The sequence below is a fragment of the Homo sapiens genome, chromosome 9, assembly GCF_000001405.40.
Source record: "Homo sapiens chromosome 9, GRCh38.p14 Primary Assembly".
Taxonomy (NCBI): Eukaryota; Metazoa; Chordata; class Mammalia; order Primates; family Hominidae; genus Homo; species Homo sapiens.
In genome coordinates this window covers 5,332,931-5,342,898 of record NC_000009.12, presented here as the reverse complement: position 1 = coordinate 5,342,898, position 9,968 = coordinate 5,332,931, and the positions used below count along the sequence as shown (strand labels likewise).

Here is a 9,968-nt window from a genome sequence, read left to right as displayed (position 1 = left end):
GTGTCTGTTCTACTGTCTCCAATTTTATTTTTGATTTTATATATTTGAGTACTCTCTTTTGTTTTCTTAGCCTAGTTAAGGGTTTGTCAGTTTTGCTTACTTAAAACGCTCTTAGGCTGGGTGCAGTGGCTCATGCCTGTAATCCCAGCACTTTGGGAGGCCGAGGAGGGTGGATTACATGAGGTCAGGAGTTTGAGACCAGCCTGTCCAACATGGCAAAGCCTCATCTCTACTAAAAATACAAAAATTAGCCAGACATGGTGTCTCGTGCCTGTAATTCCAATTACTCGGAGGCTGAGGCACAAGAATCGCTTGAACTCATGAGGTGGAGGTTGCAGTGAGCTGAGCTTGTGCCACTGCACTCCAGCCTCGATGATGGAGTGAGACTCTGTCTCAAAAAATAAAAACAAAAAACAACAAAAAAACTCTTAGTTGTATTGATTTTTCTGTTTCTTTTTTTGATTTTCATTATTTCTTTCCTTCTTCTAAAGTTGGGTTTAGTTTCATCTTTTTCTAGTTCCTTGAGCTGTAATGTTAGGCTACTTATTTGGGATCTTTTCTTCTTTTTTAATGTAGGCATTTATTGTTATTACATAAACTTCCCTTTTAAAACTGCTTTTGCTGCATCCCATAGGTCTTGGTATATTGTGTTTCCAATGTTATTTGTCTCAAGATATTCTGTAATTTCCTTTTTTTTGTTTCTGTTTTGACACATTTGTTGTTCAAGAGCATTTTGTTTAATGTCCGTATATTTTTCCTGTTATTGATTTAAGTTTCATACCATCTTGGTCAGGAACAATATTTGATGTGATTTTGATCTTAAATTTATTATGACTTGTTTTGTGCCCTACCAAATGGTCTATCCGGGAGAATGTGCACTAGAGAAAAATGCGGATTCTGCTGTTGGATAAAATGTTCTGCATGTATCTGTTACGGCCATTTTGTCTACAGTGCAATTCAGTTTCAATATTTCCGTATTAATTTTCTGTGTCTTTGATCTGTATGTTGTTGAGAGTGGAGTATTAAAGTCCTCTCTCATTACTGTAGAAGAATCCAGTAGACATGGGTTGGAACCCCACCTCCAGCATGTGACAGCTGTATGCATGGACATATTTGTTGTTTCTCCTTAAAAAGGTTTCCTTTTTGTTTAAAGGACATGAAATGCCTTTTAGTTGTGCCTGTAAAGACTGTGAATCTTGCATTTGCCTGTGATCCTTAGCAGTAGGGTAAGCCCACATCTGGCATATGTGCTGGCCAAAATTACCCTGAACAACTCTCAATCTGTTTCTTCTTTCTGTAAAATGGAAAAGTGGCCACTGTACTGGACAGTTTTAAGGACTCTGTAAAACCATGTAGGCAACATAAAATTTCAAAACATCCCTGGACACTTTGGGAGGCCGAGGCAGGTGGATCACCTGAGGTCAGGAGTTCGAGACCAGCCTATCCAACATGGTGAAACCCAGTCTCCACCAAAAATACAAAAATTAGCCGGGTGTGGTGGTACATGCCTGTAATCCCAGCTACTTGGGAGGCTGAGGCAAGAGAATCGCTTGAATCTGGGAGGTGGAGGTTGCAGTGAGCCGAAATTGCACCATTGCACTCCAGCCTGGGTGACAAGAGCCAAATTCTGTCTCAAAAAAATCACCCAAAAACAAACAAAAAACTCTGGAAATTTACATTTTTAATGAGCAATTAATTTGGAGTACAGCCTAGCACGTGGATTGTTTTTACAAGGACTGTTAACCCACGAAAATATTTTCAAACCTCAGTTTTGAGAGGCCTTTCTCAAACTGTGTGTTTTAGTGAAAATCCATTTAAAATCATTAATTGCCTCTAACCATCTCATAGCTTTGGTCAGGTATTTTTTGAAGAATTACACATTGCTTGGCATTTGACCAATGTTAAGTGGGCCTACTGAAATCACCAGCAATCTAGAAATTAGAATTACTTGATTCCATAGTTATGTTTGTAACTAAGAGATTGTTATTATTTTATTTCAAAGCTACCATAACGTCCTGCATGTCTCCAGTTTATCTGATGGAGCTGAACTAATCTGAGTATATTATGAACACAAGCAAGTAAGTTATTTTTAAAAATGAACCTATTTGTACTAAAAATTTACAGGTAGAAGGGTCGTCTACTAACCATATTATCTAGAACTGTGTGGATCTTTAAAATGCTAAATTAGGTGGTGGTAATAAAAAAAGAATCACCTCTAACCAGGTGCAGCAAACACAAAATACAGTAAACAAATGAACATATCCTTGTGCTGTAATTTGTTATCAAAATATTATTTCTGGGAATGTGGGATGTCCACTGCTTTTTTTCCCCTTCTTCTTTCTCTTCTTCTTTTCTCTCTCTCTTTCTCTCTCTCTGTGTGTGTGGTGTGTTCTCCAGTCTCCAGAGACATAGACTAGAATTTTAAATTAAAATATTTAGACAACTAGTTACAATCAAACTTCTCCCACAGGAGTGGAAGGAAAGTCCAATGGAGAAATTGTTTTGTAAATTAAAGACATTACTGCACAAGCCTAAAATGATGTTACTGGGGATTTTAATCTTTTTACCTGGATTCAGATTAAAAGTCATCAGTTTTCCCTCTCATCAACAATTTATTCATTCATCCATTATATTTTTATGGATTGATATGCCCAACATTATACTAATTAATCCAATTTATAAGGTAATCTATAATCCTATTTAGGTTAGAAGGGTTTTTGGCAAATGTTCACTCTGGAAAACTGGGTTGTAAGAATATTGGCGATCTCAATTTTATTTCTGTGTATGTAAAAAGAAAGGCTTCATATCTAAAATAACTTTACCTAAGTATACAAAGTTGTTTCAGGGTAACAAAAGAGCGAAAAACAAAACTGTAAAAGGGCCAAGGACAGAGGAATGGGCAAATGAAGGAAGGGCGGAGAGGCAGAACAAGAGCTGAAGGAGAAAATTCTGTGGAGGGGTGTGGGAAAGGGGTGGAGCTGGCAACCTTGCCTTAAAAGCTGAGTGATAGCCCATACTAAAGACTGGTTGAGCCGGGTAGGGAAAGCAGCCTAAAGCCCGGGACAGGCACACAGGCCCAGGTGTGTAGGCCACAGCAGCCGCAGTCCTGAAAGGCTGCAACACCCAGACCTCCAGGAGAGACCAGGCCCAGGATGCCTCGCCTGTTCTTGTTCCACCTGCTAGAATTCTGTTTACTACTGAACCAATTTTCCAGAGCAGTCGCGGCCAAATGGAAGGACGATGTTATTAAATTATGCGGCCGCGAATTAGTTCGCGCGCAGATTGCCATTTGCGGCATGAGCACCTGGAGCAAAAGGTCTCTGAGCCAGGAAGATGCTCCTCAGACACCTAGACCAGTGGCAGGTGAGAGCTCCCGCCCCCTCCCGGCCTTCCCGCGCTTCCCATTGGTTACTCTGGGGCGGCCGCCCAATTGGAACGGCGGCCTGCACGTCCGACTCGAGATCTCATTGGCTGCCACCGCTCAGCCCCTACTCAGCCGTGGCTGGTCCCTAAAGTTTGGGCTTTTCCTTTGCCAGGTGATTTTATTCAAACAGTCTCACTGGGAATCTCACCGGACGGAGGGAAAGCACTGAGAACAGGAAGCTGCTTCACCCGAGAGTTCCTTGGTGCCCTTTCCGTAAGGCAGTCAGAGCGACGGGGTGGAAAGGGAGGGGAAGCCTCAGAGGAGGTGACGCCGCCCGGAGACCCGCAGGAGGCCGGGCGCACTCCTGCACCCCACAGGAAAGCCAGGCGGCCAGACAGCGGGCGTGCTGGTGGGGGCACCTGAACAGGGCTTCTCGGATAGAGAGGAGAGGGGACAAACACTGAGGCGGCGCGCTAGTTATCAAGCCTGTTTGCGCGCCTGTAGGACGGGGCAACACTCTGAGGTCTCTGTGAGGGTCCCGTGATGGGAAGACAGGAAGGGCCTTACACTTAATGACTCTCCTAGTCCAGAAGTTGGGCTGTGGCCTTTGCCATTGGAAACGTTCTTTAAAATAAACAAACAGAAAATCCCAAAGGAAAGAGTCTGACCTCCCGCTTCTTTGATCTGGGTATTGAAGTTCATTTGTGAGGCAGGGGATGGAAGAGAAAGGAAAGGCTTGAATGCCTTTAGGAGAAACTCAAGAGGACCAGAGACAAGGAAAGCAGGCCGTTCAGACCATCATAGCTGAAGACCCTACTGATGCTTTCAAGCATTTGGAAGCTGCAGTGGGTTTGCTTTAAAGGCAAGCTCTTAGAGTTGAGTACAGCTCAATCTGAAATGGCTTTTAAAAATATTTTAGTATTTATAAAGTAGCAGTGGAAACTCATGGAGGTATATACTAGTCTAAGAAGTGTAACGGGTCATATTAAATTCAGAGAAAGTAACCGCAGTTGCAAATACTAAGTGTTTTGTATTAGTATGACATGTAATTTATGATAAACCGCAACTAAATTTTATAGGCTATATGCATATACTATATATAAATGACTCTAACAGAAATACATTTACTTCTCTTTTATGAGATTTAAAGTATGCTTCTAAAGTTATTTACTTTTCTACATTGTTAGAGTTTGATTTATTTAATGGCAGTTTTTACATGACTTTTGTATAACATTAGTACAAAAATACCACAACGTCTAGGAATTTAGTGATAAAAAGTAGAGAAGACCGGATTGCATTGCATTTGCTTTATTATTCCACATTTTCTGACTATAAAAGTAGTAATGCTCATATTAAAGACAAATGTACATTAATGCAGCGTGAAAAATGAGAAGCACTCGTAGATATTAAGGACTTTGAAAAGTATATGTGAATTTTATGAGAAAATGAAATTATATTAAACAAGTAAGTGGAAAGAAATGTTAACATTTGGATAGGTATATGTATATATCTTTTGCATTTTCACTCACCATTATACTTTGAGCAGTTTCTCACATTGTTATTATCCCAAAACATAATTTGAAATTCCTGTGTAGTATTTTTGTCATAAATCTGCCACATAAACTTAAAGATTCTTTGGTGGATATTTAGTTTATTTCTAAATTGTTGCTGAAAATCATTAATCACATTTGTATATAGATATTTAGCTACACTTTTATTTCTTTAGAAGAGACATGAGATTTCAAAGTATTTTTAAAGAATTTTCTTTATTGCTATGCAGTATAATTTAACTGAAAGTAACCTCAGAAAATATTGCCTGCACGTGGGATTAAGATAAATGTTTACCGTTACTAGGTAGGAATCGCTTTGGAAGTACATGTCAGTAATTTGTGATTAATATGAGTTTTCAGACTTATACTGTTAGGTAATTGCTACTTGCTTTCACGTTATTACACTGTTAGATAACCATTTTATCTTACAATGTGTGCCAAAGTAATATTCACTGCATCCCTTTTAAAAATAAGATCCGCTTTAAACCAGAGATCTATTTCAGTAAGATTTGCATCCAAAATACAGTGAATTAAGGGTATTTGCATGAATTCAGACAGAATATTTTCTCTGAGCCTAGGTTCCATAGCTAAAAGTGTTATGGATTATGAAATATTTCAAAACAGGTTTAAAAATATAATTTTAATAAAAGTTCAAAACACACAGCCTATGAATAAACTGAATACAATCTATAACTGTTTTGGCTGATTCATTTAACTGGCTTTAAGTATACAGAAAATTACCATCAGCTTTTTTCAGCATTTAATAAGACTGCAACTACAGACAGTTTAGGTTGGAGCACAGAGACGTTTTTATGAGGAAATTGAATTAAACTTAGGATGTCTTAATGAGGGAAAATGCCAAAACCTGTCATTTAACCAAAAATGATATAAATTCTCATCTGTCATTTCCAGTTTAGAATGTGGATGAGCGAGAGTGTTAGGGGCAAAGACAAAATACTACAGGTTTTTTGTTTTGTTTTGTTTTGTTTTGTTTTTTATTGCTCTGTCAAACTCCAACTGTTGAAGTTTGTTGTTGGTAAAAGGAGAACAACTGATTCTTTTGCCACAAAACTCAGGAAATGATCAGCCCCAGAACTACCGCTGTCTAGGTGAAGGGTCGTGGTTTCCTCTGATCAGCAGGCATCAGTGGTTAACCAGGTGTCTGCCTCCCGCACTTAGATTTACTCCTCTCTTCTCTTTCTTTTCATTATTTCAAGAGTAATGCCTTGGTATTGGATAGTTTTCCTGTCCAAGAAGAAGAGCAGCAAGACCTGATCTGAGTTTACACTATAATTTAAACATTGTCAGTGTTTATTTCTTTGTGAAATAAAACTCTTAAATTGTATAATTAGGATAATTAAGGTTAGGAGAGAGTTTAGCTCACTGTAAGTTTTTTGACAGCAAGAAACATTTTTAAAAATTTATATCTTTTAACTGGCAGTGCCAGAGACACAAAAACAGGTAATGAATGTTCAACGGAGCTGAATGGGTACAAAGATGGAGTAAGATGTCAGCTGGGTGTCCAGCAGGTTCCCAGCCCAAGTCCCAGCCTTCACATTTGGCCAGCCTGGGATGCTGTGTAAGAACAGGCCCTTCCTAGGAATCACACAGATCTTGCATAGTGCATGATCTGCAGCCTTGGAACAAACATCAGACAGAAAACATTAGTCAGTACACTTACACCACAGCACATATGAATCTCTTCTTAAATCAGTGATTTTTGGTTAGTGATCTTTTAACCCACTTCTCTCTTTCATATAAAATACTATTGATTTGGAGTAATTAGTCTGGGGAAGACAAATTGTTAAATAGATGATTGAGGAACATCAGAGATTTCCTTCTCCTGCTGATTAGATTACAGGTGTTGGAAATGCTGCCTCTTTAACTTTATCCTCCAGGAGTAAATTCCCACCACGAAACATTGAGTAGCTTAAAATAATATCTTTTTCAAGCGTTGTTACTACAACTCGTAATATCAGAAATCATAGCTTAGCAATGGAAGAAAACGAGTTAAGTAAGAAGAATCCAAGAAAATGACCACTATGTGTGGCCAAACTGTTTCCAATGACTTACATGACTTCAGAAAGATGACAGAGTAATGTCAGGGAGAGTCAAAAGTACTATGATAAAAGCACTGAGGGGATAATGAAGAGAGACGAGAGAGGACCAATGGGGTAAAGCAGAGCCTTGGTAAAATTATGGTACTTTAAGGTGTCCAACTGTAAGAAAGCTAAGTGTTTAGATATTAGGATGCTTTTGTGTTTCAATGTTTAATTTATATTGAGGCAATGCTTTCTTTTCTTTGTGTATGCAAACATTCACAGTTTTTCTGAATGCTCTTTGACGTGAATACGCCTTCACATACACTTTTTTTTTAAACTTAACAGAAATTGTACCATCCTTCATCAACAAAGATACAGAAACTATAATTATCATGTTGGAATTCATTGCTAATTTGCCACCGGAGCTGAAGGCAGCCCTATCTGAGAGGCAACCATCATTACCAGAGCTACAGCAGTATGTACCTGCATTAAAGGATTCCAATCTTAGCTTTGAAGAATTTAAGAAACTTATTCGCAATAGGCAAAGTGAAGCCGCAGACAGCAATCCTTCAGAATTAAAATACTTAGGCTTGGATACTCATTCTCAAAAAAAGAGACGACCCTACGTGGCACTGTTTGAGAAATGTTGCCTAATTGGTTGTACCAAAAGGTCTCTTGCTAAATATTGCTGAGATGAAGCTAATTGTGCACATCTTGTCTAATTTTCACACATAGTCTTGATGACATTTCACTGATGCTTCTGTCAGGTCCCACTAATTATTAGAATATAAGAAATCTTTATTAATGTTTAGATTTTTCATTTGGTGTGTAAGAAAATATTCTTTGTATGATTGTAGTTTCTGTAAATGACACTTTCTATGCTGAAGTCTTTTTGTCTTTTTATTAACAGTATAATTGTGTTGATTCTTTTTAATGCTGTTAACTTAAAATTACAATAAAACCTTTGCCACTTTAACCATACATAATAACAATACAGTACCTAACAACAGTTACATGAGGTGGACCAAAATGTTTTTATTGATATTAACTCTTAGATTGGATATACATAAAGCCATACAACTTGAACTTTCCTAATAGATTTCAAAAGGTTTTTGTTGCATATTGAACTACTCATTGCAAACCATCAGTTTGGACACTAAACCAATTTAATTTAGTTGAAGTAAACTCAAGTATTTTTTTTCCTTTTTAATTTCTTTTTTTCCTAGCAGAGTCTGAAGGGAACTCAAGTACTTTTCAGGCTCTGGTTCTGATCTCAGTTCTAGTGTCCATAAAACTTAAGTTACTTTTTAAGGAGAAAAACGTATAGACATAATGGAGGAGAGAACAAACATCCATATCATATATTACAGAAGAAATAGTATAATGAGGGAACATACCTTATGTTCACTTCTTTAGAATTTACTATTTCTGTAAGCAAAATTACTGAAATAGTATGAACACTTGTTAGAAAAGTAAATTGACATAGCTATCAACTTGCTATTTTACTGGTTCCATCTATGTATATACACATGCATTTTACCCAGCATTTATAGAAGAAATACAGTTGAATGACAAGTTAATCTCCTCCATCAAATGTCTGTAAATTTGATTTTGTATTCTGAGATTTTGCTGAAGTTGCTTCTCAACTTAAGAAGCTTTTGGGCTGAGTCAATTGGGTTTTCTAGAAATAGGACCATGTCATCTGCAAACAAACACAATTTGACCTTTCTTCCTATTCGAATACCCTTTATTTCTTTCTCTTGCCTGACTGACCTGGCTAGAACTTCCAACACTATGTTGAACAGGACTGGTGAGAGAGGGCATCCTTGTCTTGTGCTGGTTTTCAAGGGGAATGCTTCCAGCTTTTGCCCATTCAGTATGCTATTGGCTGTGGGTTTGTCATAAATGGCTCTTATTATTTTGAAGTGTGTTCCTTCAATACTTAGTTTATTGAGAGTTTTTAACATGAAGCGATGTTGAATTTTATCAAAGGTGTTTTGTGCATCTGTTAAGATAATCATATGGTTTTTGTCTTTAGTTCTGTTTATGCGATGAATCACATTTATTGATTTGTGTATGTTGTACCAACCTTGCATCCTGGGGATAAAGCCGTCTTGATTGGGGTGGATAAGCTTTTTGATGTGCTGCTGGATTTTGCTTGCCAGTGTTTATTGAGGATTTTTGCATCGATGTTCATCAGGGATATTGGCCTGAAGTTTTCTTTTTTTTGTTGTATGTCTGCCAGGTTTTGGTATCAGGATGATGCTGTCCTCATAGAATGAGTTAGGGAGAGGTCCCTCCTTTTCAGTTGTTTCGAATCATTTCAGAAGAAATGGTACCAGCTCTTCTTTGTACTTCTGGTAGAATTCAGCTGTAAATCCATCAGGACCTGGGCTGTTTTTGGTTAGTAGGCTGTTCATTACTGCCTCAATTTCAGAACTCATTGTCTATTCAGGGATTCAGCTTCTTCCTGGTTCAGTCTTGAGAGGGTGTATGTGTCCAGGAATGTACCCATTTCTTCTAGATTTTCCAGTTTATTTGCATAGAGGTGTTTGTAGTGTTCTCTGATGGTTGTTTGTATTTCTGTGGGTTCAGTGGTAGTATCCCCCTTATCATTTGGATTGTGTTTATTTGAATCTTCTCCTTTTTCTTCTTTATCAGTGTTGTAGGATGAGGCGGAACCTATGAACAGGCAGAGGCCAGAGAAATGGTATTTCCTTCTGTCATCTTATGTGAAGAAAAGTGCATGAGCGCATTTTCTCATGGGTTGATTTATCTGTGACCATTAATAAGAAGTCCACCATTTTGTTTTGTAGTCCTCCCCTTCATACGCATCACTAAAATATTTGCTTCCAGGATAGAAGTTTACTCAATAGAGAACATAGAATGAGATTAAATTTTAAGCTTCTGGTTAATACTGTGATCTTGTTTTCTTGTGTTTTAGTAGAAGAATATTATCATTGCCTTTATCCTTACTGTGATGTATGAATCACTTGAAAGTGTACAACATTA

At 37.9% G+C, this 9,968-nt stretch overlaps 2 protein-coding genes across 7 annotated transcripts in view; both read left to right on the top strand.

The window, feature by feature from the left end:
* Nucleotides 1-1,982: 1,982 nt before the first annotated feature.
* RLN1 (relaxin 1) lies at nt 1,983-7,969 on the top strand. Of its 5 annotated transcripts, XM_047423703.1 has the most exons (3): nt 3,023-3,363; nt 3,537-3,637; nt 7,302-7,969. In XM_047423703.1, exons 1-3 carry the CDS (start codon nt 3,153-3,155, stop codon nt 7,341-7,343), a joined length of 354 nt encoding a protein of 117 aa, XP_047279659.1. In that variant the 5' UTR covers nt 3,023-3,152; the 3' UTR covers nt 7,344-7,969. The 5 variants fall into 5 exon arrangements, with proteins under 5 accessions (XP_047279662.1, XP_047279659.1, NP_008842.1 ...); XM_047423706.1 differs by lacking the exons at nt 3,023-3,363; nt 3,537-3,637 and adding an exon at nt 1,983-2,078; NM_006911.4 differs by lacking the exon at nt 3,537-3,637.
* RLN2 (relaxin 2) overlaps nt 3,573-9,968 on the top strand; it is a 39,463-nt gene continuing 33,067 nt past the window's right edge. For both annotated transcript variants that reach the window (XM_047423707.1, XM_047423709.1), the window contains exon 1: nt 3,573-3,637. The gene's annotated coding sequence lies outside the window, so the exon portion shown is untranslated. The remainder of the gene's footprint in view (nt 3,638-9,968) is intronic.

What these genes read in the sequence shown, in the direction of transcription:
- RLN1 (NM_006911.4), top strand. Translation starts at nt 3,153, where the DNA reads ATGCCTCGCCTGTTCTTGTTCCACCTGCTAGAATTCTGTTTACTACTG. An exon ending in GACACCTAGACCAGTGGCAG is followed by an intron (nt 3,364 to 7,301) that starts GTGAGAGCTCCC and finishes TAAACTTAACAG; the next exon opens with AAATTGTACCATCCTTCATC.